Source organism: Homo sapiens, chromosome 17, assembly GCF_000001405.40.
Source record: "Homo sapiens chromosome 17, GRCh38.p14 Primary Assembly".
Taxonomy (NCBI): Eukaryota; Metazoa; Chordata; class Mammalia; order Primates; family Hominidae; genus Homo; species Homo sapiens.
Window position 1 is genome coordinate 21033849 of NC_000017.11, and position 27660 is coordinate 21061508.

The 27660-nt window shown below is 47.3% G+C and overlaps 1 protein-coding gene across 3 annotated transcripts in view, besides 7 other annotated features; it reads right to left on the reverse strand.

The window, feature by feature from the left end:
* The window catches only part of USP22 (ubiquitin specific peptidase 22), a 43824-nt gene extending 34253 nt beyond the window's left edge, over window positions 1-9571 (reverse strand). For 2 of the 3 annotated variants that reach the window (XM_047435703.1, NM_015276.2), the window contains exon 1: window positions 8817-9163. Coding sequence is in view for 1 of the 3 variants with exons in the window: in NM_015276.2 (NP_056091.1) it covers window positions 8817-8987 (171 nt within the window). In the remaining 2 variants the exon portion in view is untranslated. Of the gene's footprint in view, window positions 1-8816; window positions 9164-9472 lie in introns of those variants that run through there. The other variant, XM_005256575.3, reaches the window with a different exon arrangement.
* Window positions 54-555: an enhancer, noted in NCBI's record as "H3K27ac hESC enhancer chr17:20937215-20937716 (GRCh37/hg19 assembly coordinates)". NCBI's record gives its function as "activates a minimal SCP1, AML or CMV promoter by ChIP-STARR-seq in naive and primed H9 embryonic stem cells {active_cell/tissue: H9 hESC(naive and primed)}" and the evidence as "EXISTENCE:reporter gene assay evidence [ECO:0000049][PMID:30033119]".
* Window positions 577-696: a silencer, noted in NCBI's record as "silent region_8311". NCBI's record gives its function as "represses an Ori minimal core promoter by ATAC-STARR-seq in GM12878 lymphoblastoid cells {active_cell/tissue: GM12878}" and the evidence as "EXISTENCE:reporter gene assay evidence [ECO:0000049][PMID:35858748]".
* Window positions 8849-9448: a silencer, noted in NCBI's record as "silent region_8312". NCBI's record gives its function as "represses an Ori minimal core promoter by ATAC-STARR-seq in GM12878 lymphoblastoid cells {active_cell/tissue: GM12878}" and the evidence as "EXISTENCE:reporter gene assay evidence [ECO:0000049][PMID:35858748]".
* Window positions 8849-9933: a biological region, named in NCBI's record as "NANOG-H3K27ac-H3K4me1 hESC enhancer GRCh37_chr17:20946145-20947094".
* Window positions 8984-9933: an enhancer, noted in NCBI's record as "NANOG-H3K27ac-H3K4me1 hESC enhancer chr17:20946145-20947094 (GRCh37/hg19 assembly coordinates)". NCBI's record gives its function as "activates a minimal SCP1, AML or CMV promoter by ChIP-STARR-seq in naive H9 embryonic stem cells {active_cell/tissue: H9 hESC(naive)}" and the evidence as "EXISTENCE:reporter gene assay evidence [ECO:0000049][PMID:30033119]".
* Window positions 9934-10881: an enhancer, noted in NCBI's record as "NANOG-H3K27ac-H3K4me1 hESC enhancer chr17:20947095-20948042 (GRCh37/hg19 assembly coordinates)". NCBI's record gives its function as "activates a minimal SCP1, AML or CMV promoter by ChIP-STARR-seq in naive and primed H9 embryonic stem cells {active_cell/tissue: H9 hESC(naive and primed)}" and the evidence as "EXISTENCE:reporter gene assay evidence [ECO:0000049][PMID:30033119]".
* Window positions 17567-18153: an enhancer, noted in NCBI's record as "H3K27ac-H3K4me1 hESC enhancer chr17:20954728-20955314 (GRCh37/hg19 assembly coordinates)". NCBI's record gives its function as "activates a minimal SCP1, AML or CMV promoter by ChIP-STARR-seq in primed H9 embryonic stem cells {active_cell/tissue: H9 hESC(primed)}" and the evidence as "EXISTENCE:reporter gene assay evidence [ECO:0000049][PMID:30033119]".

Below are 27660 nucleotides of genomic sequence, written 5' to 3' on the forward strand. Positions count from 1 at the left end.
AGTGATTCCCCTGCCTCAGCCTCCCGAGTATCTGGGACTACGGGCGCGTGCCACCATGCTCGGCTAACTTTTTGTATTTTAGTACAGATGAGGTTTCACCATGTTGGCCAGGATGGTCTTGAACTACTGACCTCAAGTGATCCACCCACCTCAGCCTCCCAAAGTGCTGGGATTACAGGCATGAGCCACCGTGCCCGGCCTAAATATTCTATCCTTTATATGAAAAAAAAAATACGGCACTAAAAAGCTAAAGACTTTGCCAAAATTAGATAATCTTCTCAAATTAAGTTCCCCAACCTCAAAAACCTCAGCTTCCAGACTCAGGCCCCTCAATCTCGGAGCCAAAATCAATCTAAGGGTACAGCGACTCCAGACCTTTCAATTTACAGAAGGGGTAATTTCATTCAGCAAAGGCAAGACCTCAGACTGACCTCATTTCAAGGCTGGGACCCAGCAGTTGCCGGTGATGTCCTTGGACAGGTCAGGAGACTTACTTGCCAGGCCTACCTAAAAAGTGTATCCCAACTACCAAAACCAGAAGGAAATTACGTATGAAATATAAAATATCACAGCAGTCCTCCCTTACCTACAGTTCCGCTTGCTGTGGTTTCAGTTACCCACAGTCAACCTCAGTCTGAAAATAGTAACATGGAAATGCCAGAAATAAACAATTCATAAGCTTTAAACTGCCCGCCGTTCTGAGAAACATGATGAAACTGAGTGACATCCCGCTCTGTCCCATGACCATCCCTTTGTCCAGCTTCTCCGTGCCATCTAGGCCACCTGCCCGTTAAGTCACTTGGTAGCTGTCTTGCTGATCACATCAACTGTTGCGGATGTGATCACGGATAAAAGTGAACACAAGCCACTTTTATTTGGCTTAATATGGCCCCAAAGCTCAAGAGTACTGATGCTGCAATTTGGATATGCCAAAGAAAAGCCATAAAGGGCTTCTTTTACGTGAAAAGGTAAAAATTCTTAATAAGAAAACAATATCAAATAACAAGGTTGCTAAGATCTACAGTAAGAACAAATCTATCCATGAAATTATGAAGGAAAAAAGTTTGCACGTAATACAAATGGGGTTCAGTATTATCTGTGGTTTCAGACAACTACCGGAGGTCTTGGAATGTATCCCTCAAGGATGGGGGTGAGTACTCTATTATCATAAACAGGAAATGAGGAAGCCCAAGAGATGCTGTGCTGAGGGACACACACTTGGACGGAAGCAAACTGGGGCAAAATCCTCCTGGTACTGACCAGCTTAGGCTAGTCTTCCTTTAAATTGAGCTCACCTCACACAACTGTCAATTACACATGTATGGGGAGCAATCACATTATCCTAAAGCCTCATTTTAATCTACCATTCTCACTTAATTCTCTGAGTTTCTTACCAGAGCTGCTAACATATAATAATAAAACTCACACTCAATTCTATCTCAATTTCTACTCTTCAGCACCCTCTGCTACAGGTACTGGCCAACATAAAACAAGAGGCAAGAAAAAGACTCACATATCCATTAGGCGGGTCATTTTAATCCTTGAAAACTGAGTTTACTTCCTACCTAAGCTTCCATCCGCTTAATACCAAGGTGATCAAGTCTGTGTGCTAAATACAGGAAAAGCCTTAATAGGAGACCCTGCTACCAATTTGTAGGAAATAGGACAAAAAAAAAACAAACCACAACACTTTGAACTTCCACTGTTGAGTATGCAAACAGCAAAATCCAGACTATAGGGAAGTCAACAAGTCACAAGGCCCAAGTTTTTCAACAGATAAAGTAGAAGCAAAAAACTGTAAGAAAGGAATGAAGAGAGAACCTACAGATTAAGAAACTTAAACGACTTACCAGTATAGCCACATGATAAATACCATTAAAAGAAAAAGGAATGAACTTTCGGCTGGGCGCGGTGGCTCACGCCTGTAATCCCAGCACTTCGGGAGGCTGAGGCAGACAGATCACAAGGTCAGGAGATCGAGACCATCCTGGCTAACACAGTGAAACCCAGTCTCTACTAAAAATACAAAAAAATTAGCTGGGCGTGGTGGCAGGCGCCTGTAGTCCCAGTTACTCGGGAGGCTGAGGCAAGAGAATGGCGTGAACCCAGGAGGCGGAGCTTGCAGTGAGCCGAGATCGCACCACTGCACTCCAGCCTGGGCGACAGAGCAAGACTCCGTCTCAAAAAAAAAAAAAAAAAAAAAAAAAGGAATGAACTTTCAATCCACTCAATGGATACAATGGATATTGCTAGACAAAAGAAGCCAGTATGAAAAGGCTACAGACTGTATGAACCCAATGATATGACATTCTGGAAAGGGAAAAACCTCCGAGATGGAGACGAGACCAGTGGTTGTGGAGAGTTAGAAGGTGAAGCACAGGGATTTCTTGGGGCAGTGCAACTGTTCTGTACAGTACTGTAGTTGTGGATGCCTCTGTCAAAATCCACTGAGCTTTAAAGCACAAAGAGCAAACCTTAATATATGCGATTTTAAAAATAACTGATGAGGCCCTATGGAATGCAGGCTGAGGCAGAAGAAACCAATTGTATTACACATATAGGACACAACTCCGCCAAGAGGGGTGGGGAGGGAAGTACCTAAGTAATGTGGAAATGAGGAGGGAGTGTAAGACTAAAAGCAAAAGGAACTGTAACTGAGCACTGTACTGTAAGGGGGGGGGGGGTCAAGTCATTTCCCAAGGGAGTACAGGACAATTCTGAAACCTCTCTTCATGTATACCAAAGCACAACAGGTAAGTAAGTAGATTGTCGACAGTGGGAGCCAGCATTTTCTCTGCTGGACAGAGAAGTTACAGATAAACTGGAGGGGAAGGCTAGAATAATCCCTATAGAAATGGATTAGAGTTGGAGATATAAACATGAACTCATGTAGAGCTTAATAGGGATGCTGATGAATATATATCAAATTACAGACGTGTATATGCACGCATTTGTATATACACACCTGTTTCCCAGCTCTGTCCCTTGAGGGGGCCAAGAAGCCAGGATATCCCAGTAATGATGAACACACCAGTGCCCAGATCTTGAGATCTAATTCCATTCTCCCAAAAAAGAAACTAGGGATCCTTGGAAAATGCTGGAGTCTAAGGCTGGGGCAGAAAACACATAAGATGATCCCAGAACATCGTGTAGTTCCAGAAAGTAAGGAAGTGCTCAAAAACAACGAACAAAAAATAATGTGGCTATGTGAAAGGGACACCGGAGCCAGCTGAAAGAGCTCCCAGTGGATACAGCCAGATGATGGGAGCAACACAACAAACCACACAGCACTGGATGATAACCCAAAGCATACATTCAATATCCACAAGTCCATGTTGATATACACAAATGAATAAACACACGAGTGAGGATCAGCAAATCTTCCATACATAAACGTTCCAAATAATTTAAGTAGCTACTCCATCCTCAAGGAGGAGGAACAGAACTCCCCACCCCGGTAGAGTACCTATGCAGAGTGACTCCCTTCTATTATAAACAGTACATAAAGGAGGGAAAGAGTCACTCCACAGTGGAGAAACCTGGCAAACATGACTTCGGCCATTCAGTCAAGCCCAGCAACCCAAGACATCTTGACAGCATCATCCTTAATTTACGGGAATGAGAAGGGCACTTCATCTCCCTGGTCTTCCTTCCCAAAACTCATAACCACAGCTGAATCATGAGAAAAACATCAGAAAACCAAAACTGAGGGACATTCTACAAACTACATGACCGGGACTCCTCAAAACTCTCAAGGTCACCAAACAGGACAGCCTGAGAAACTGTCACTGTCTAGAAGAGCCCAAGAGGACGTGAAGACTCAAAGTAATGTGGGATTCTGAGACAGAATAAGGACATTACATAAAAACCAATGAGTTCTGAATAAAGTATGCAGTGTAGTTAATGAACTAAATACACAAACACAAATGAGTAGAAGTAAAAGCGGGGAAATCTGAATGAGATGGTGGATTATATTGAAGATAGACTGTATCAATGTCAATATTCTGGTGGTAATTGTACTCCATTTCTGCAAGAAGTTACCCTTAGAGGACTGGGGAAAGATACACAGGATTACTCTATTTTCTTACACCAGTATGTCAATCTACAATGACCTCAAAATTAAAACCTTAAACAGAAAAATGTTTACATTTTAGATCTTTTACTTAGACCCCACTTAGTATGAATGGTGTAATGTTTTGTTGTGATGATTTGAAAGATCCAGTTCACTATAAAATAAAAAGTAAATTCCTCAAAGAAACAAAGTTTTAAAGTATACTTTTAAAATAGCACATATCATCCCAGCACTGTGGGAGGCCGAAGTGAATCTCCTAAGGCCAGGAGTTCAAGACCAGCCTGGGCAACATAGGGAGACTCAGTCTTTTATTTTTTTTTAATAAATAAATAAATACAATAGCACGTATCAGGAAAATGAGCTAGACTATGAAAATAAAAACAAGTAATGAGAGCTCTCTACAATGTGCTCACCACCATCCCAGCACCTGGCTGAGCCAGTAAAGACAGACTGAGGCATTGTTGGATGGCTGGGAGAGGTGGCTCATGCCTGTAATGCCAGCACTTTGGGAGGCCAAGGAGAGAGGATCACTTAGCTCAGAAGTTCAAGACCAGCCTGGGCAACATGGCAAAACTCATGGCTACCAAAAATACAAAAATTAGCCAGGTGCGGTGGCGCATGCCTGTAGTCCCAGCTACTTGGGAGGCTGAGGCAGGAGGATCACTGGACCCCAGGAACTCGAGGCTGCAGTGAGCCATGATCATACCACTGCACTCCAGCCTGAGTGAGAGACAGACCCTGTCTCAAAAAAAAAAAAAATACATAAAAAATAAAAAATTTAAAAAAGTGTTTTGAGGACACAGTGCCATAAAATTTTAGATTCAAAGAGAGAAATGGTTTTAAAAACATTACCTGTTCTCCAAAGTGTCTATATTCAAAATATAATGTAGAATGTTAAATCATAATCACTTCCTGCCAGTTCCTATCTTTACAGACAAACCCTGAAATGGTAAGAAATTTGTTATATTTAACACACACCAAAAACACAAAGGAGACGCCACTGTGGTCGTGCCAGTCCTAAATCATGGAAATAGTTTTTTTCTTTTTTTTTGAGACGGTCTCGCTCTGTCGCCCAGGCTGGAGTGCAGTGGTGCGATCTCGGCTCACTGCAACCTCCGCCTCCCTGGTTCAAGCGATTCTCCTGCCCCAGCCTCACGAGTAGCTGGGATTACAGGCGCGTGCCACCATGCCCAGCTAATTTTGTGTATTTTTAGTAAAGACATGGTTTCACCGTGTTAGCCAGGATGGTCTCGATCTCCTGACCTCGTGATCCGCCCGCCTCGGCCTCCCAACGTGCTGGGATTACAGGCGTGAGCCACCATGCCCGGCAGAAATATTTTTATAGTCTGCAATACAAGAGTTTTATGGCAATTCGGGCCAGGCGCGGTGGCTCATGCCTGTAATCCCAGCACTTTGGGAGGCCAAGATGGGCGGATCACCTGAGGTTGGGAGTTCGAGACCAGTCTGACCAACATGAAGAAACCCCATCTCTACGAAAAATACAAAATTAGCCAGGCATGGTGGCGCATGCCTGTAATCCCAGCTACTTGGGAGAATCACTTAAACCCTGGAGGGGGAGGCTGTGGTGAGCCGAGATCACGCCATTGCCCTCCAGCCTGGGCAAAAAGAGTGAAAACCCCATCTCAAAAAACAGAGTTTTACTGCAATTCAAGCTTCTTTTGGACAGAAATTTATCAAGCCTGGTCATGTTTTTGTCATGTTCTGCCTGTTAAAAGAAGAATCAAAGTTTGGGTACAAAATGCATAATCCATCTGTCCTTAGATAACAAAACTCGTAATTCCTATTCATTCAGGGATTCATTTCTTTAAACTGTACCTGAGATGTCCATCTCAAAAAGTACCTTTGTTTGTTTACAAAGATTATAATTCAAGTTGAAGTTTGTTTTGAGATAGGTTTTGTTGTCCAGGCTGGAGTACAGTGGCACAATCATCAGCTTAAAGTACTTTTACAGTCAAGTTCATATCATTAAAACCAAAAATATGGCTGGGCTCAGTGGCTCTGGCCTGTAATCCCAGCACTCTGGGAGACAGGAGGATGGCTTGAGTCCAGGAGTTCAAGACCAGCCTGTGCAATATAGTGAGACACTGTCTCTACAAATATTAGCCGGTCGTGGTGACACACGCCCGTAGTCCCAGCTACTCAGGAGAGGCTGGAGTCCAGGAATCTGAGGCTGCAGTGATCACTGACCAGACCATTGCACTCCATCCTGGGTAACAGAGCAAGACTCTGTCTCTACAAAAAATAATTTTTAATAAAATAAAATTTAAAAAACAAAATGTCCTAAGCTTACAGATCTGATGGAAATCCTATGCAGATTGTCCAACTGTTAATCATCAGGTTTGTTAAACTATTTCCCAAACCAACTCTTCCTTAACTGGGCCACTAGAGAGTGCTAGAAATGCAGGACACCGCACATGAAGTGATACAGGTAAATAAGTCCCCCCAGTCAGAGGAAAAAGCATGGAGGGCTTAAGGGCTCCTTGCTGGCACACTGCCAACTGGCACTGCAGCAGCCCCCACCTAAATTTTGAAAGAAATATTTTTCACTACCCGACTACAGTTCAACTTCTAATTGGTGAATAACATACATGTGGCTCAACAGTTTTGAAACTAAGCAACTGACATCTGAAATTAAAAGATTAATCAGAGCCATAAGTAGCGCAAAAAAAAAAAGTAATTCTTAACTTTAGGAAATTAGGCAAAGTTAGTTAATGATGGTTTAAACTTGACTCCTTCTATTTGGTTAAAAAATACCAGAGGGGGGAAGAAAGGGAGAGGGAGGGAGGGAACGGAAAAAGAAAAGGAGGGAGAGGAAGAGTGGGGCGGTCCCCACTTCATCCAAAGTAGTAACAAATCTTGGGCGCGTCACGTCCCAATCCGGACACTACTGACCCAGAGTAGCAACAGCACATTCCCTGTAGAAGACTGGCTTCAACCAGGCCACCCTTTTTTTTTTTTTTCCGGAGGGGGTCTTGCTCTGTCACCCAGTCTGGAGTACAGTGGCGCGATCACTGCTCACTGCAACCTCCGCCTCCCGGGTTGAAGTGATTCTCCTGCCTCAACCTCTGGAGTAGCTGGGATTACAGGCGCCCGCCATCACACCCGGCTACTTTTCGTATTTTTAGTAGAGATGAGGTTTCACCATGTTGGCCAGGCTGGTCTCGAACTCCTGACCTCGTGATCTGCCCCCCTCGGCCTCCCCACGTGCTGGGATTACAGGCGTCAGCCACCGCGCCAAGCCAGGCCATCTTTTCTTAAAGACACACAATTCTACTAGCAAGACTCTAACTCCGATCCTGAAACGTTTTATGTCTGATTTTAGTTCATCCAGACATAACGCTACCTGATACCATTACAGATAAAAAAAATTTTGAGGCCGGGCACGGTGGCTCATGCCTGTAATCCCAACACTTTGGGAGGCAGAGGCGGGTGGATCACCTGAGATCAGGAGTTCCAGACCAGCCTGGCCAACATGGTGAAACCCCGTCTCTACTAAAAATACAAAAATTAGCCGGGCGTGGTAGCAGGAGCCTGTAATCCCAGCTACTCAGGAGGCTGAGGCAGGAGAATCGGCTGAACCCGGGAGGCGGAGATTGTAGTGAGCCGAAATCGCGCCACTGCACTCCAGCCTGGGGTACAAAGCGAGACTTCGTCTCAAAAAAATAATTTTTTTTTTGAATTACTGCTTAACATACCCTACAATCTCAGCGAGCCTGTTGGTATTCCCATAAATAAAAAAATGCCACTCAAGGTGGAAACTGCCCTCACAACTCCCAATCTCGGATTGTAATCTACAAAAGCGCGTGAAACTGTAAAAATAAACTTTATTCACATAGAAGAATCACGTTACGTTTTGATTTCCAAACCCTTACCAAGCCTAACTGCGGGACGCAAGACTGGGCTCCCCGAGGGGACTCACTCCTGGTTAAGGCCTCCCACAGCCCACGGCGCGCTTCCAAGTCTACTCCTCAGCCGCAACGCAAACCCGGGCTGTGGCTCCGCACCCACAGGCTCGCCCCGGCCCCAGCCCCTGCCGCCCTCCACCTCCAGCTCCTCGCGGGCCCCGAGGCAGCCGCGAAGCTCCGGCCCCGCGCCCCCCAGCCCGCCTCCTGCCCCAGCTCCCGTCCAAGGTCGCTCCTGGCGGCGGGTGACCGCTGCAGACCAACGCCCAGAACTCGACAGCCCCCCATCCTTTACTCATTTTTTTGAAATATTTCTTTCTCTGCACCCGCATCCAGCCCCGAACCCTCCAGAACCAGGAGAGTTCCCCGCAAGGACCTCGCGCAGGAACGCCCGGGACCGCCCACCGAAGTCCCAGGCTCCCCAGGCAGCAGGGCAGGAGAACACCACCCCCGGCCCGGAAGCACTCGCCCCTCCCGGGCCAAGAAGGATAAGGGAGGGGGAGGGCGGAGAGAAAGGAGGGGGAGGGGACAGAGAGGAGGGGGAGGGGACAGAGAGGAGGGGGAGGGAAAGGAAGAATGGGGGAAGGGGGGAGAGGGGAAGGATAGGAAGATGAGGAGATAAGGGAAGGGAGAGAGTTGAGGGGGGAAGGAAAGGAGGGGGAAGGGGTAAAGAGAAGAGAGGGCAGAAGGAGAGAGGAAGAGGAAGGACAGGGAAAGGCAACGGGGGAAGGGAAGAGGGCAGGAAAAGGGCCCCTCCGCCGGCCGGCCTCAGGAGCGGCAGAAGGCCCCGAGCCCGCCGCGCGGTGGGCTGCCGGGCGCACCTTGCGCTTGCGGGCCTCAGCCGTGCCGCTCCACACGAAGCACTGGTAGATGGCCCGCAGGTTCTGCTTCCAGTTGTCCACCTTGAAGCTGCCCAGGTGCGAGCAGCCCGGCGGCGCTACCGCCAGCTCGGCGTCCATGGCCTCGCCCTCGGGCTCTGGCCGGGACACCATGGGGGGCAAGGCCCGGCCGCGCGCGGGGGGCGGCGGCGAGGGAGGCGAGGACGACGCCAGCGCGGCGTGGGGGCTGCTCGGCGGCTGGCCAGGCTGGCCAAGGCCCGGGCGCCGAGAACAAAGCGCGGAGGCCGGACAAAGATGGGGCTGCGCGATCGCCGAGGGGAGGCTGCAAGGCAGGCACCGCCCCCGAGCTGCGGCTGCTGCGGACCGCCTGCGCTGCGCTCTCGCGGTTCGCGGAGGGTGTCGCGGGGCGGGGCGCCGCGGCCGCGGACGGAGATTACGTCACCCCCCCCCCCCCTCCCGGCCGGCACCGCACTGCGCAGTCTCCAGCCCGCGCCAGGCCCTTCCCCCACACTCGCGCGCCCGTTAGGCTCTGGGTAGACCCGCGCCCGAGGAAGCGTGGTAGGGGGGGGAAGCTAACGAGGGCCCGCCCCTCCCCTTCCTTTATTGGTAGTAGGCCACCCCCCCCCCCCCCCCGGCACCTTCGGCTATTGTCATAGGCTCTCAGTATAGTCCGTCTGGTACAGAGCCGCCTCCCGGGACCCTGGCGGCTAGACGTTCCCTGTCTCTTCCAGAGGACTGGGGAGGCGGGGGCGTGCTGCGGTTGGGCGGCGCGAGACGTCAGTCCTAGCACTGAACCGGTTTGCGCCGGCCTGAGCTCTGCCGCAAAGAGGCGGGGCGATGAGCTGGAGCGCCGCAGGTCGGGCCTCCATCCAGGGCCTGCGCTTTCCCACCCAAAAGCACCCCCTAATCGGGAGCTGTTTGCAGGGCCCCCGGTTGCCGTAACCTGGCTCGGGCCCTGCAGTGCCGTGGCCCGGGGCTGGAACTGCCTGCCAACTGCCTGGTAGGCGCTGCCCCCGGCCGCAAGCTGGGGCGCCTCCTGTCGGGAGCCCGCTGATAGTGAGGGCCAACCCGGCGCCATCCAGTTTAAAGAGGCATCTGCGCGCCACACGCCTGACACTTCACATTTGCTAGTGGCTACATTTTTCTAATGAAAAAAGAAAGTTACAGTAATATATCTCAACCCAATAAAGTCAAATTATTTCAGCATGTAGGCAGTATTGCAAAATCGTTAGTGGAATGTTTTACAGTTTTTGCAGCAAGTCTTGGAAATCTGGTATTTACACTTAAAGCACATCCAATTCCTACTAGCTGCTACCGCAGTGGGCGGCACAGGTCTAATCGGTATACAAATAACTGACCCAAGGCAAACTGAGAAGACATTTAAAGACGAATGCAAACGAAGTTCTGGGGGAACCAGGGCGCCAAGGGTCTGGGGGAACTTGGATAAGGTGTCAGGTGTGGAGCTGCTCCCCTGTACTCATCCCGCTGCTAACTGCTTTGCTCATTCATTCATCCACAGATTGCAGGAAACAGCAATTGCCGTCCAGAACCATCACAAGTTAAAAAATAAAGATTGTGATCTCACAACACTTAAAGCTACAGGGTTTAATGGACTGACGACTGGGATAAAGCTTTTGTGGCCAAGACAAATTGCCGAGCACAGGTTTTTGCCTCATGGCCTTCGTGCTTGCAGTACCCTCTCCCTAAAATGCTTTCCCTACCCCCTCACCCTCTGCATCCTTATATTCCATGTCTGATGCTCGCTCACCTCCTTCCAGCTTTATCACACACCTCCTTTTCCGTGAAAAGGAAAATTGCCACCCTAATGAAAATTGCAAGCCCCCCAAAATTCTCCATTCCCTTACCCTGCTTTGTTTTTCTCCAAAGAATTTATCACTATCTGGCGTAATGAATATTTACTTATTTTTTTTATTGTCTCTTCCCTTAATAGCATGAAAAATTACGAGAGGGTAATCTTTTTTTTTTATTTTTTATTTTTGAGACAGAGTCTCGCTCTGTTGCCCAAGGCTGGAGTACAGTGGTGCAATTTCGGCTCACTGAAACCTCCGCCTCCCAGATTCAAGCGATTCTCCTGCCTCAGCCTCCCCAGTAGCTGATATTACAGGCGCCTGCCACCACGCCGCTAATTTTTGTATTTTTAGTAGAGAGGGGCTTTCACCATGTTGATCTGGAACTTTTACTAGAAATGGGGTTTCGTCAGGCTGGTTTTGAACTTCTGACAGCAAGTGGTCCACCAGCCTCGGCCTCCCACAGTGCTGGGCTTATAGGCGTGAGCCACTGCGCCTGGCCTCCAAGAGGGTAATGATATTGTGTGTTTTATGTACTACTACAGCCGCAAGTTCCCAGAACTGTATTGGCTACATGCAGGTACTCGGAATTACCCGGTGAAGCCCTATAGTAGTCCCAGCTACTCCAGAGGCTACGGCAAGAGGATCGCAGAGCCCAGGAGGTCAAGGCTGCAGTGAGCTGTGATTGTGCCACTACACTCTAGCCTGGGCAACAAAGCAAGACCCCATCTCTAAACAAAACAAAACCCTGCCGAATTAATTAACCCGAAACACATTTACAGAAAAATCTAACGAGACCATTTCTAGAATAAAACACTTGTTAAGGAAAACCATGTTTATGTTAGAGGAAAGAATGTCAGCTTACAAAAAACTAAAATCCTAACTAGTAAGTCAGGAATTACAAAAATATGTGATCCATCTCTATAAATATTGATGTAAGGAGTTTTCTCATATTGTTGGGCTTATACAAATATGATTTGGCTTCACAAATGTGCACTTAGCATTCAGGCCCTAATATTTATTATCTTTTTTTTTATCAATACGATCATCTAAGCACAGAAGAATATCTGTGCTGTCCACTTGAATCAATTATAATGATTTAAATGTTCCATAATCAGAACAACCTTAGTGATTTTAAAAAATTTAAACTACAGAATATACTCTTGAGAAGCAGTCCCCAAAAGATGTATGGATGAAGTGCTTTTTTTCTAATGGGAAACAAATGGAAACGTTAATGACGATTAATAGGAGAATCATTGAATAAATGATGGACTAGCCATTCTAGGGAATAGTACACAGCTATTAAAAAGAATGAAGTCCAGCTTGGGCAATGTGATGAAACCCTATCTCTACAAAGAAATTAAAAAAAAAAAAAAAAAGCCAGTTGTGGTGGTGCACGCCTATAGTCCCAGCTACCCAGCAGGCTGAGGCGGGAGGATTGTTTGAGCATAGGAGGTCGAGGCTGCAATGAGCCCTGATCATGCCAGTGATTCCAGCCTGGGCAACAGAGAAAAAAAAAACTAGATCTGTAAGTACTAGTACAAAAAGTCATAAAACATAAATGAATACAACAAATTGCAGAAAATTACAGAAAATATGCTGACGTTTGTAGGAAAATAATGGAAGGCCTGGAAGAAAGAAACACACCCATCAATAACAGTAACTTCTGGAAAGGAAAAGGTAGATGTGACTTAATCTGTAATGTTTGAATGTTTTCTTACAATGAAAATTAATATATTCCTTTGTATTTAAAAATCACTAAAACTTAAAAAGAAATGACAAAGTGTCATGGTACGAGGGAACACACTGTTCTACAACATGTAGAAAACAGTGGCCCACATGTTCAGTATATGCATTTATTCATGTATCCAAGAATCAAGTCAGATTGCTAAATTACAGTCAGGCTCTGCCACCTACTATCTGTGTAACCTTGGGCGGATTGCCTAAATTTCTCAGCCTGTTCACTTATCTGTTAAAATTGGGAGAATATCAGCTCTGTGCTTACGTTGAAGTGTATGGCAAGGAATAAATGAGATAATCCATACAAAACTCTTAGCAAGTGCCTGTTGTTAATAAGGGCTCAAGAAACATTAGCAGTTATTGATCTGATAGTTGCTGGCAATTGAGATGATTACAACAATTTCTTGCTTCAAGAATCCCAGGAGGATGGGAGAGGAGAATTTTTTTTTTTTTAATTTAAAAAAAAAAAGGCCGGGCATGGTGGCTCACGCCTGTAATCCCAGCACTTTGGGAGGCCGAGGCGGGCGGATCACAAGGTCAGGAGATCAAGACTATCCTGGCTAACATGGCGAAACCCCGTCTCTACTAAAAATACAAAAAATTAGCTGGATGTGATGGCACCATTGTAGTCCCAGCTACTCAGAAAATCGCTTGAACCCGGGAGGTGGAGGTTGCAGTGAGCCAAGATTGCACCACTGCACTCCAACCTGGGCGACAGAGCAAGACTCTGTCTCAAAAAAGAAAGCCAGGTGGCCTATGCCTGTAATCCCAGCACCTTGGGAGGCCAAGGTGGGTGGATCACTGAAGGTCAGGAGTTCAAGACCAGCATGGCCAACATGGTGAAACCCCATTTCTACTAAAAATACAAAAATTAGCCAGGCGTGGTGGTGCATGCCTGTCATTGTAGCTACTTGGGAGGCTGAGGCAGGAGGATCACTTAAATCTGGGAGGTGGAGGTTGCAGTGAGCCAAGATCGCGCCACTGCACTCCAGCCTTGGTGATACAGTGAGACGGTGTCTTAAAAAAAAAAAAGAATCCCACAGTGTAGTGTGCTTAGTAGCAATATTGCCAGCAACATTAGCGGGATGTTATAGGAATATAAAACTGCAGCGATAAAGGAAAGTCTAGGTAATATCGTAATACTCCAAGACACCTCTTTACCGTAATCCTCCCCAGACAGGTATGGTGGAGGAGATCTGGAAATGTTTTTTGATGCCTTACCTAGGTATGGAAGACAGGGTTTTTTTTTTGTTTTGTTTTGTTTTTTTGAGATGGAGTCTCGCTCTGTCACCCAGGCTGGAGTGCAGTGGCGCAATCTAGGCTCACTGCAAGCTCTGCCTCCTGGGTTCACACCATTCTCCTGCCTCAGCCTCCCGAGTAGCTGGGACTACAGGCGCCCGCCACCATGCTCGGCTAATTTTTGTATATTTAGTAGAGATGGGGTTTCACCTTGTTAGCCAGGATGGTCTCGATCTCCTGACCTCGTGATCCGCCCGCCTTGGCCTCCCAAAGTGCTGGGATTACAGGCGTGAGCCACCGCGCCCAGCCGAAAGACAGTTTTTAAAAAGGAGTGTGACCTGGTCAGGTTTTTGCCTGAAAAGGCATTTCCCACCATCCATGAGACTAACACAGCCTAAAATGTTATTTTCTAAATTTTTGTTTTCAAATTTAAAAGAAGTTAAAACACCCATGGAATTATGGTTCCTAGATGGTCAAGTAATAATCCTAGACCAATCCTCCCTCATATAACAACTATGAACTGTGGACATAATGCAAGCACAAATATCTAAAGGCTTTGGAGAGTGAACCAAAGCAGGCAGACCTAGTTAGGTGCAGACACATGGAAAAAGGGACCTGCCCAATAGGAGTAACCCGATGTCGATGGTTTATAGACTGAGGACAGGACATACTTGGCATCTAGACAGGAAGCCTGAAACTCTGATAGAAAATCCATGGTATTTCTGGACTGAAGAAGCAGAAGACAGAGTACAGAGCAACCAAAGCCACTGAAAAGTGAGAAGAGATTCAGAGATGTGAAGCCGCAGAATCTGTGCATAAACTACATCCAGGGGTCCAGTTGACCACCAAACCACTCCTATGGGGCAAATTCCAAGCAGCCAAACTAGAACAAAAAGAAGTGAGCGGAGATGTAAGCTACTAGTCAAGAAACCACTAAATACCATTAATTGCCTGCTAAAACAAAAATATTAACTGTCTTTGGAGGTATATAACAAAATTCATACTTTCAACAACATAACAGTAGTAATGTCCAGGATATGATCCAAAATTATTATTATTATTATTTTGAGATGGAGTTTCGCTCTTGTTGCCCAGGCTGGAGTGCAATGGTGCGATCTTGGCTCACTGCAACCTCCGCCTCCCAGGTTCAAGCAATTCTCCTGCCTCAGCCTTCAGAGTAGCTGGGACTACAGGCATGCACCACCACGCCTGGCTAATTTTGTATTTTTTAGTAGAGACAGGGTTTCTCCATGTTGGTCAGGCTGGTATCACACTCCCAACCTCAGGTGATCCACCCACCTCAGCTTCCCAAAGTGCTGGGGTTACAGGCATGAGCCACTGCGCCCAGCTCAAAATTATTTGACATATGAGGAAACAGGAAAATGTGCCCCTTTTTAAGAAATAAAACAAGAAAGATGATCAACCATAAGATATGTCAGATATCAAAATTAGTATATGAGGAATTCAAAGCAGCTATGGTAACTGTGCACAATGAGGTAAAGGAAAGTATGTTTGAAATGAATGAAAGATGGAAAATAGCAATGAAGGCCAGGTGCAGTGGTTCACACCTGTAATCCCAGCACTTTGGGAGGCTGAGGCAGCAGGATCGCTTGAGGCCAAGAGTTCAAGACCAGCCTAGGCAACATAGTGAGACCCTGTCTCTACAAAAAACAAATTCCAGCCTAGGCAACATGATGAAACTCTGTCTCTATAAAAAAAAAAAAAAAAAAAGAAAGAGCTGGGTGTGGTGGTACACACCTGTAATCCCAGCTACTTGGGTGGCTGAGGTGGGAGGATCACTTGAGCCCAGGAGTTGCAGGCTATAGTGAGCCATGATCACACCACTGCATTCCAGCCTGGGCAACAGAGCCAGACCTTGTCTCTAAAAAAACAAAAAGAAAATAGCAGTGAAATAAAAACTATACAAAAGAATCAAATAGAAATCCTGGAACTGAAATATCAATATCTGCAATAAAAAGGTCACCAAATGGGCTTAAAGGCAGAATGGAAATGGCATAAGAACAAAGAAAAAATAGTTGTAAGAAAAAAAAAAACAAAGTCTCAGAAACCTGTAGGGCAATATCAAAGGCTGAGAATATGTTTAATTCAAGTCCTGGAGGGAAAGGTGGAAGAATGAGAGAGAAAAAATGTCTGAAGGGATACTGGCCGAAATTTTCCCAAGTTTGCTGAAAGATACAAATTTACAGATTCAAAAATGCTGTTGAATTCCAAGTAGGATCAATGTGAAGAAAATGCATATAAGCCCATTATAGTTTAACTGCTGAAAACAAATAGTAAAGAGCAAATTTTGACAGAAGCCAGAGGAAAATAAGACATTATTTAAAGGGGACAATGACTTTCTTCTTATCAAGAAAATAAGAGGGCCAGGCGTGGTGGCTCATGCCTGTAATCCCAGCACTTTAGGAGGCTGAGGCTGGTGGATTGCCTGAGGTCAGGAGTTCAAGACAAGCCTGGCCAATATGGTGAAACCCTGTCTCTACTAAAAATACAAAAAAAAATTAGCCAGGCATGGTGGTGTGTGCCTGTAATGCCAGCTACTTGGGAGACTGAGGCAGGAGATAGCTTGAACCCAGGAGGCAGAGGAGGTTGCAGTGAGCCAAGATCGCACCACTGCATTCCATCCAGCCTGGGTGACAGAGAGAGACTCTGTCTCAAAAAAAAAAAAAAAAAAAGAAGAGTTGCACCAAAATCTCAGAAATCACCACTAAAGAACTTATTCATGTAACCAAACACCACCTGTTCCCCAAAAACCTATTGAAATAAAAGAAAATAGGAAAACAGTGGGTGCCAGACAACAGTGGAACAGTATTTTGAAAGTGTTGAAAGACAAAAGTTGTCAACACCTATTTCTATATGTAATGAAAATATCCATCAGTGATAAAGATAAAATAATTAAATTTCATATAAAAGAAAGTTAAGATAATGTTTCTTCAGCAAATCCGTACAAGAAATCAGGGCCGGGTGCAGTGGCTCATGGCTGTAATTTGGGAGGCCGAGGTGGGCAGATCACTTGAACTCAGGAGTTTGAGACTAGCCTAAGCAGCTTAGCAAAAACCCTACTCAACAAAAAATACAAAACTTAGCTGGGCATGGTGGCTTGCACCTGTAGTCCCAACTACTCAGGAGGCTGAGGTGGGAGGATCACTTGAACCTGGGAGATGGAGGTTGCAATGAGCCGAGATCTGTCAGCCTGGGTGACAGAGCGAGACTCCGTCTCAAAAAAAAAAAAAAAAAAAAAAAGAGAAGGAAGTTCTATGGGCCTACGGGAAAAAGTACCAGATGGAGACTTGGATATTCAAGGCATGAAATGAAGAGCATCAGAATACATATGATGATTTAAAGTGAAAATCATAACATTGTTTCCAATGGTTTATAATATATGCATAGATACAATGCATATGACAACTGTTACACAAGGGACAGGAAGGAGGTGTAAATGGACTTATAAAGTTCTAAGATTTCCATATTTTATGTGAAGAGCTACAATATTAAATTTAAATAGATTATGAAAACACACAGGTTGATATTATAATCCCTAGAATAGCCACTAAAAAATGATGCAAAGAGGTGTAACTGAATTTTTTTTTTGAGACAGGGTCTCACTCTGTCACCCAGGCTGGAATGCAGTGGCAGGATCTTGGCTCACTGCAACCTCTGCCTCCCAGGCTGAAGTGATCCTCCCACCTCAGCCTCCTGAGTAGCTGGGACTACAGGCACATGCCATCACCCCAGCTAATTTTTTGTATTTTTCTTAGAGACAGTGTCTCACCATGTTGCCCAGGCTGGTCTCAAACTCCTGAACTCAGATGATCCACCCACTTTGGCCTCCCAAAGTGCTGGGATTATAGGTGTGAGCCACCATGCCCAGCCAGAAAATAGAATTATAACAATATTCAAATAACCCAAAATAAGGCAGGAAGGGAAGAAAAAGAGGAACAAAATCACAGAGAACAAACAAAAATCAAATAATAAAATAGCAGACGTAACTACAAACATTATCAATAATTCCTTTAGATGTTACTAGGCTAAATGTCTTCCACTTCCACCTGTGATGGAGTGTCAGGACAGATTTTGCCTCCTGCTTTAAACAACAACAATGAAAACCGAGACAAACTATAAGAAACATTGGTTTCCAGGCAGGGCGCAGTGGCTCATGCCTGTAATCCCAGCACTTTGGGAGGCGGAGGCGGGTGGATCACGAGGTCAGGAGATTGAGACCATCCTGGCCAACATGGTGAAACCTCGTCTCTACTAAAAATACAAAAATTAGCTGGGCGTGGTTGCACGCACCTGTAGTCCCAGCTACTCAGGAGGCTGAGGCGGGAGAATCGCTTGAACCCGGGAGGCGGAGCTTGCAGTGAGCAGAGATTGCGCCATTGCACTCCAGCCTGGCGACAGGGCGAGACTCTGTCTCAAAAAAAAAGAGGGAGAAACATTGGTTTCCAAACACCGGAAAACAGGAAGTGCAGAACCGTGATTTGAGCCCTGCAGCTCTCCAGCTGCTGCCTGGACAGAGCTTGCAGGCTGCAGTATGAGGCCAGGCAGCCCAGTGCAGGGCACCTGAGATTCCCCAGCTTTGACGCTGAGAGTCCTGGTCCTGGGAACTCCTCAGTCCTGGTTAAACTGGGAAGGTCGGCCACTCTCCCAGACAGAGACCAACACGTTTCATGAGTTGACAATGTAGGGAGGTAACGGTGGCTAGGATTCACAGGACAAATGACCAAAGAGAGCTGCACAGAGACTGCATTTCAGAAATCTGCCACTGATCCCCTCAAGGCTTTTTGCTTACAGGCCAGTGTAGGTTGACATGTCGTGGAGGCTGCAAGTTAAGTTTTTACTGAAACTACATGAGGCAGGGGAAATAACTGCCAGAAAAAAGCAGATGGAACAGTTCCTGGAGCTTGCAGGGCTAGAAATAGTTCACATTCCGAACAGCCAGAGTGGAGACACCTGGTAATACATAGGTCATCAGGAAGGGGGCTCAGGAGGGTGTTGCCTTAGTAGTGGGAGCAAAGTAGCCCTAGAATAAGGCTGATCTACCTGGTCATTCCTTATAAAGCATAAAAGCTTAAAAGGAACAAACTGCTTCCAGTAACTTACCTGTGATCCAGAACAAAGCCTCTCAAACGTTTAAGGAACACAAAACCAAAATATTTTTCAAAGAGAAAGAAGGGGATGGGAAGGAGAAGCACCAAACAAGGTAAAAATTTCAGTGTCTAGCATCCAGTCAAAACTTACCAAGCCTGCAAAGAAACAGAAATACGCAACCTATAAAGAAGAGAAAATTCAATCGGCGGAAACAGACCTCAAAGTGAAATGCGGGACACAGATTTAGTAGTCAAGGGCACTAAAATGGCTACTGTAAATACATTCCGTCTGTTCAAAAAGCTAGAGGAGAGATTGAACATGTTCAGTAGAAACATGGTAGATATAAAAAACAAACAAAAATGAACAGAGCTGAAGGACAACTTCAAGCAACCTGATTACGTGGAATTACGGTCTCTGTAGGAGAACAAGTAGAGCCAAGTATCCAAGGCATTCCAAACATACAAGTTTTCCAAAACTGAATCAAGAATCAGTTTCTCAATTTCAATTTCAATTAACTAAAATTAAATAAAATTAAACATTCAGTTCCTCAGTCATGCTAGTCAGATTTGAAGTGCTCAGCAGCCACATGTGGCTAGCTACTACTATATCAGACATGACAGATGTGAAAACATTTGCATATCTTTTTTTTTTTTGAGATGGAGTTTCACTCTTGTTGCCCAGGCTGGAGTGCAGTGGTGCGATCTCGGTTCACCGCAACCTCTGCCTCCCGGGTTCAAGCGAGTCTCCTGCCTCAGCCTCCCGAGTAGCTAGGATTATAGGCATGTGCCACCATGCCCGGCTAATTATGTATTTTTAGTAGAGACGAGGTTTCTCCATGTTGGTCAGGCAGGTCTCAAACTCCCAACCTTAGGTGATCCACCCACCTTGGCCTCCCAAAGTGCTGGGATTACAGGCGTGAGCCACCGTGCCTGGCCCCACATATTTGCATTTTTTTTTTTTTTTGAGACAGAGTCTGGCTCTGTTGCCCATGCTGGAGTGCAGTGGCGCGATCTCGGCTCACTGCAAGCTCTGCCTCCCGGGTTCATGCCATTCTCCTGCCTCAGCGTCCCGAGTAGCTGGGACTACAGGCACCCACCACCACGCCTGGCTAATTTTTTTTTTTTTGTATTTTTAGTAGAGACGGGGTTTCACCATGTTAGCCAGGATGGTCTCGATTTCCTGACCTCGTGATCCACCCGCCTCGGCCTCCCACAGTGCTGGGATTGCAGGTATGAGCCACCGCGCTGGGCCAACATTTGCATATCTTAAGAGCGTGTCAGCTTGGGTGGGTGGACAGAAGGGATAGGTCACATGCACGACTGATCCAGAGACCTGGGCCATGTGGCCACTCCCCACTTGAAGTTATGGGATCACTGACATAATAACCATAGCTAGTGGTCAGCTCAGTCCCTCTAGTTCTCAAACCAGAACCCAGGCAGAGCTCAGTTCATAGTTGGGTTCAACCTCAGCCACACAGACTGCAAACGGCCTGGGTCCTTCCAGTTGTCAGGTGAAGATGTAAAGCAAAGTCACCGACTTTGGCTTTGGATCCCAGGCAGTCCTCTGCAGGGAGGCTGTGGGGCTTTCCATGCAGGTTCTGGGTGATCCTTCAAAACCTCTCTTCTGGCTGGGTGCGTTGGCTCACGCCTGTAATCCCAGCACTTTGGGAAGCCGAGGATGGCGGATCACTTGAGGTCAAGAGTTCAAGACCAGCCTGGCCAACCTGGTGAAACCCTGTCTCTACAAAAAAATTAGCTGGGTGTGGTGGCGGGCACCTGTAGTCCCAACTACTCGGGAGGCTGAGGTGGGAGAATCGCTTGAACTCAGGAGGCAGAGGCTGCAGTGAGCCGAGATCTCACCACTGCACTCCAGCCTGGGCGACAGAGTGAGACTCTAGCTCAAAACAAAACAAAACCTCTCTTCTAGTCCAATTTCTTTTCACGTTACTAAGGGCCTGCCAGGCCAACCCTGGATCCCACAGCAACACATCCTTTCCCGTTGGAAATCCAGAGGACAGTGACTGCTTTCCACCACATAGGCCAGCTGTGAAAATCCCTGGACCCCCCTTCACCATACAGTGCAACCTCACCATATGGGGGTTCGTGCAGCTCATTATGAGAATCACCCACTCATGGACACCCCATACAACCTCACCAAGACTGCCATCACCATGGGAGAGCCTGGCTTGTCTATCAACACAGACACCACTTAAGATTGAGAGCCTTGAAGGGTAAACAGGGTACCCGGAGGCATCCAGACTGAAGGAGTGAGGGCCACACTGTGAAGGGAGGTGTGAGGATGACCCTAGGACCACAGCTTGAACTGGATCCCAAAATGCCCTGGGCACAGTGCCACCTACAGCTTCAGAACCATCTTTATCTTATCCTGTCCACCTGGGAGTCCTCCTTCCCCGTCTCACCGTGATGACCTGCAGGAGTGTCTCTTAGCCACAGTCCTCCTCTGTGATTGTCAACCTATAGAAAATGTAAACTATAGATTTTAGAGAACCTTGTTCTGTAAAATCACGGACTGTCAGAAACTTTGCTGTTTGAAACCATGTTAGTGAGACTGGAACATTCTTTGACACAAAGAAGCAGCCTCAATTTCCAGCTGAAACAGGATTTTTCTCTTCTTTCTTTCTTTTTTTTTTTTTTTTTTTTTTTTTAGAAAAGAGCTTTTTAACTTTGGGAGGCTGACGTGGGCGGATCACGAGGTCAGGAGATCAAGACCATTCCGGCTAACACGGTGAAACCCCTTCTCTACTAAAAATACAAAAAATTAGCCGGGTGTGGTGGCGGGCGCCTGTAGTCCCAGCTACTCAGGAGGCTGAGGCAGGAGAATGGTGGGAACCCAGGAGGCAGAGCTGGTAGTGAGCTGAGATGGCACCACTGCACTCCAGCCTGGGCAACAGAGCAAGACTCGGTCTCAAAAACAAACAAACAAACAAACAAACAAACAAAGGAGCTTTTTAAGCACAACATCCTACATTTATTTTAACTTTGTAGTTTCTAAGGGAACAGGACCCTGGGTCGGCTTCTGATGTTAACCCCTTTATAGCTTTACACACATAATCCTGCTTGCTTCACGCCTATCCACAACACTGATTCATTTATATTGTACCTAACCTCCACCCTCCTCCAGATCCTGTAAGAACCCTGCCTCTATGTGGCCAGGCGCAGTGGCTCATGCCTGTAATCCCAGCACTTTGGAAGGCTGAGGCGGGTGGATCATGAGGTCAGGAGATCGAGACCATCCTGGCTAACACGGTGAAACCCCTCTACTAAAATACAAAAAATTAGCCGGGAATGGTGGCGGGCGCCTGTAGTCCCAGCTACTCGGGAGGCTGAGGCAGAATGGCGTGAGCCCAGGAGGCGAAGCTTGCAGTGAGCAGAGATCGCACCACTGCACTCCAGCCTGGGAGACAGAGCTAGACTCCGTCTCAAAAAACAAACAAACAAACAAACAAACAAACCCTTCCTCTACCTTTGTTTGAAGAGGACACCAGGTTCCTCAGGTAAGTGATCACTCTTGCTGCAAGGATGCTAAGAAATCCATTGTTTTGGGACTACAGGTTTGTCCCTGTTAGGTTGTATTACCGTCCTGGAAATGGTACATTTATAGCCTAACAAATATACAGGAATGGATTTTTACATCCACAGAGTAGAGAACAAAGAGAAAAATTGCCCCTCTGTCATCACAGAACTTTACATCATGTTTTCTAAAAGTTTAAAACTCAAAAATGTGGCCGGGCACGGTGGCTCACACCTGTAATCCTAGCACTTTGGGAGACTGAGGCAGGTGGATTGCCTGAGCTCAGGAGGTCGAGACCAGCCTGGACAACACAGTGAAATCCCACCTCTACTAAAAATACAAAAAAATTAGCCAGGCATGGTGGCGTGTGCTTGTAATCCCAGCTACTTGGGAGGCTGAGGCAGGAGAATTGCTTGAACCCAGAGGGCAGAGGCTGTAGTGAGCCGAGATCGCGCCACTGCACTCCAGCCTGTGTGACAGAGTGAAATACCATCTCCAAAAAAAAAAAAAAAAACCTCAAAAATGTTCCCTAATGTGTTATTCCCGTGAATAACTCATGTGACTCCTGTAGAGACATTCAGTAACACCCTCCCCTTTGAACTTTTGAACTGATGCTGAAGGAGAGCCCCCTTATTATAAAAATGCACGTTTAGATCTCTTTTCAGATGTGCAGCCTTTTTTTTTTTTTTTTTTTGAGACGGAGTCTTGCTCTGTCGCCCAAGCTGGAGTGCAGTGGCGCGATCTTGGCTCACTGCAAGCTCCGCCTCCCGGGTTCACGCCAATCTCCTGCCTCAGCCTCCCGAGTAGCTGGGACTACAGGCACCCGCCACCACGCCTGGCTAATTTTTTGTATATTTAGTAGAGATGGGGTTTCACCGTGTTAGCCAGGATGGTCTCGATCTCCTGACCTCGTGATCCGCCCACCTCGGCCTCCCAAAGTGCTGGGATTACAGGCATGAGCCACCGTGCCCAGCCCAGATGTTCAGCCTTTAAAAAACTGTTCTATGGAATGTTAGAATGAATATCACACTGAAGCCTCAAATAAGCACCAGCCACCCAACTGAAAGGGTGACCAACTTATGGTCATCTTGTCAGAAATTGCATCCTCTCAGCTGAACCCACAGCTAGGGTTGCGGCAAGGATGTTCCCTTGTCTGGTACCCTTGTTCCCCTGTTCCCTTGTTCCCTGGTCTGGTACCCCAGACCAGCCCTGGATGGGATTCCAAAGAAAGAAGCACCAAACGCCAGGGTGACCAGTGCAAAGCATGCATTAGGGCGCTTACATACATAGGGCTGTCACAGGCCTCAGGTGGCCTTCAGGGAAATGGGTGCCCCCCGGAGAGGAGCCCTTGGAGAGGGGCGTGGGGAAGGTGTCAGTTGCTACATGTTTAGCAAGATGTTTGATCTTGAAGTGTTTTGGACAACAACATAAGCAAGTTTATCAGTGCCTGGGAATGTTCAGGGCCCCAGCTCAGGTTCCAGCCCACAGCGGAAGCATGCAGCCAGCCAGATCACAGAGTGGCCAAGGTGCTCTCTGTGTCTCAGAAAGAAAGTGGGAGAAACTGGGAGACCCTACACATATAAGCTTCTAACCAAACTCCCCAATTCTACTTTATTTTTGACTATTTTCTAACCTAAAGAGAAGTCATAAGAATTATGCAGTGAGCACCCATAGACACTTCATCTAGATTCTCTAGTTAGCGATACGTTTTTAATCCAGTTTTCTTACCACTTTACCTTATCTCTCCACGTATATTTTTAATTTAAATTTTGTGTTTGAGTTACTTACAGACACACTTTGAGTTACTTGCAGACAAGCTAGAAGAACTAGTTTCTTCTGCAAAACCATGGTGCAATGATCATATACTGGAAATTTAACTTCAATACAATACATTCCCCTATACGCATTGCCTCATATACAATGCATTTCATAATCCATATTCAGATTTCCCCCTAATTGTACCAAAGGGTCTCCTATAGCTGTTATTAGTTTCCATTCAAAATCCAACCAAGGCTCTCACATTGCATTTGGTTTCGTGTCAATTGTGACAGCCTTGTGAAATTTCTTTATTATTTGTTTATTTATTTTTGAGACAAGATCTCATTCTTTCACCAAAGCTGGAGTGCAGTGGCGCAATCACAGCTCACTGCAGCCTCTACCTCCTGGGCTCAAGTGATCCTCTTGCCTCAGCCTCCTGAGTAGCTTGAACCACAAACCACAGCCACCACACCTGGCTTTTTTTTGTTGTTTTTTGAGAGACGAGACCTTGCTGTGTTGCCCATGCTATTCAAACACCAGGACTCAAGTTGAGCCATTGTGCCTGGCCTGAAATTTCTTTGTGTGCACAGGGCCCTCTCTTCCCTGCAGATCCCAAAGTGATTTCTGGTAGATATCTTGCGTATATTCAGATGTAAAAGAAAGTTTGTCATTTTGATGTGTTAAAGAACTTGGGGGGTCAAACAGTCCCAGACTGCCCAGTGAGCATTCTCTTTCTTCCTTCTTGCAATGCAGCAACAAAGTCTTGTTTTAAAATTATATACCTCTGGCTGTCTTTTTCCCACAAGGGGAGCTGCAGACAGAAGCTGAAGGAGCTGTGAGTCATGCAGTCAGGATAGGGCTCTCCAGGCCCCCAGGGAGGGAGGCAAAAGTGAGGAGATGCATGTTCTCTGCAGTTGCCAAGAACCTGGTGGACCAGGGTACCGAGAGGCAAGCCCTAAGCCACATGCCAGTCAAACACAGCAGAGAGGTGGCCCCCAGACCTCATTTCTACTAAAGCAGACATTGCTTAGACATGATATAATCCTTATTGCCTGACTGTCTTTCCACATAAATTATCCTGAATTTTGTAATGACATGCAGGAGAATGCCATATCAAATAGACTCTTCTTGATTTGTATCGGTCAAAGTTTGCAGTAAGAAATAGTAAGAAATATGTTCTTGAGCCAAGCATGGTGGCTCATGTCTGTAATCCCAGCACTTTGGGAGGCCGAGGCGGGTGGATCACCTGAGGTTGGGAGTTCGAGACCAGCCTGGCCAACGTGGTGAAACCCCATATCTACTAAAAACACAAAAATTAAGCTGGGCACAGTGGCTCATGCCTGTAATCCCAGCGGCTCACGCCTGTAATCCCAGCACTTTGAGAGGTCGAGGCAGGCAGATCACGAGGTCAAGAGATCAAGACCATCCTGGCCAACATGATGAAACCCCGTCTCTACTAAAAATACAAAAATTAGCTGAGCATGGCGGCACACACCTGTAGTCCCAGCTACTTGGGAGGCTGAGCCAGGCGAATTGCTTGAACCAGGGAGGCAGAGGTTGCAGTGAGCCGAGATTGTGCCACTGCACTCCAGCCTGGGCCACAGAGCAAGACTCCGTCTAAAAAAAAAAATTAGCTGGGCGTGGTGGTGGGCACCTATTATCCCAGCTACTTGGGAGGCTGAGGCAGGAGAATCACTTGAACCCAGGAGATGGAGGTTTCAGTGAGCCAAGATTGTGCCACTGTACTCTAGCCTGGGTGACAGAGTGAAACTCCATCTCAAAAAAGAAAGAAAGAAAGAAAGAAAGAAAGAAAGAAAGAAAGAAAGAAAGAAAGAAAGAAAGATGCTTTTGTTTAAGCAGAAAAGGACACCATTGCTGGGTGCAGTGACTCAGCCTATAATCCCAATATTACAGGATCCTTGAGTGTCACTTCAGCAGCCAGAAACCTCTGTGGCCAGTGGCACCTTTGTCCAAGTTTTGCTCTGGCCTGTTTGGGCTCATTCTGCCCACTCGGCCTGGCAGGCTGTGCTCAGCTTGCGCTACTGGCTTAGATCTCATACTTGCCAAGGGTGAGCCAGGTGAGGAGCGGCAAGGGGTGTGTGAGCAAGCATGGGGCCCGGCCACTGTGCACAGCCAGGCACGCCGGTTATGGCCAGGCAGGCAGTTCTAGGCACCTGTACAGGCACCAGCTTCCTGCGAGGCTGTGGCTAGACCAGGCATACCATAAGCAACTTCCACAGCTGACACTGAGGAACACAGTGGTGCCTGGAAGCTTGGAGACACCAGGAACCACAGAGCCATAAAGGGGGAGGCACAACCCTGGCTCAGGGAGCTCCTAGGTCTGGGTTCCCCAAAGGGCCACAGCTCTTCTCTCCTCTCTTTTTTTCTCCTTGTCACCCATAACATGGCAAGCAAGGGGTGTGTTTCAGCCCTGTTTGTGTTACAGCTCTCTTAGCCCTGCAATTTAGCAGGTCCTGAGTTCTTGTCCTGTGTCCGGGAAGAATGAAGTACTCAGATAAGTGAAGGGTGAGCAAGATGAAGAGGAGCTTTATTGAGCAATGGAACAGCTCAGAGGAGAGCCACGGTGAGTAGCTCCTCTCCGTAGCCAGGGTGTCCCAGTGAGTGTTCAGCCCTTAATAGAGAGGGTAGCTCCTCTCTCCTAGGCAGGTCGTCCCGATGAGTACTTAGCGCTCAGTAGAGAGGGTAGCTCCCCCGCAGAGAAGGTTGTCTTGTCATTTCCCTGCTCTCAGCAGAGAGGAGACCTTAGAGTGGGTAGCTCCTCTCCACAGCTGGCAGTCCCGACATCTCTTCTGGTCTGGCTAAGTCCAGGGTTTTTATGGGCCTCAGAAGGGAGGAAGCACATGCCAATTGGTCCATGGGCAGCCATGGGTAGGCCCAGAAAAAGCACCACAAGTTCCCATTCCAGTCCACAGGACCAGCAGCCCAGCCCCCGGGCTTCAGGCCCTCCCTAGCTTGAAGTTGGGGCTTCACTGGGGACCCGTCGCCTTCCACCCTGGGGCCTGTATGCCTCCTGCTGCCATTCATGAAGCCTAGGCTGTTCATGCCAAAGGGTGCCTGCAGACCAGCACCAAGCTGCCCTCAGCCCACTGTCAGCCTCCTTCCCATGCTCATCAGTGCCCAAGTCCAGAGGGGGCTGAGGTGGCAGGGGGCTGGTATGTCAGTGCTGCCCTGAGTGTGTGCACACCTGGCTGGTCTGTGACAGTGCCCAGGCTCAGCCCCATCCTTGCTTCAAGATTGTAGTGGGTGCCAGGAGCAGGGAGAGGCCAGATAGTGGGAGCAGACACTCCCAGCATGTGGGAGGAAGGGGGGCCATCCTGGTCCCCAAGAGTGCAGAGATGCCTGGGTCCTCAGCCACGGCTTGGGCAGCTGCAGCTGCCCCCAGGAGGGTAGGGCTCCTGCCTGCTTCCAGCCCCCAAGAGTACAGGGAGGCCAGGGTCCCTAGCTGTGACTTGGGCTGCTGCAGCTGTGCTTGGGAGGGTGGGGCTCTTCTGCTTCTGGCTCCTCCCAGTACCATGGAGCATGGCACTGCCCTGGGTCCAGCTCCGCCTAGGAGCCCCTTTCTGCCCGTCCCTCCGTGCTCTACCGTGCTGCTCCCCCACTGGCAGGCAACTCAGCCTGGC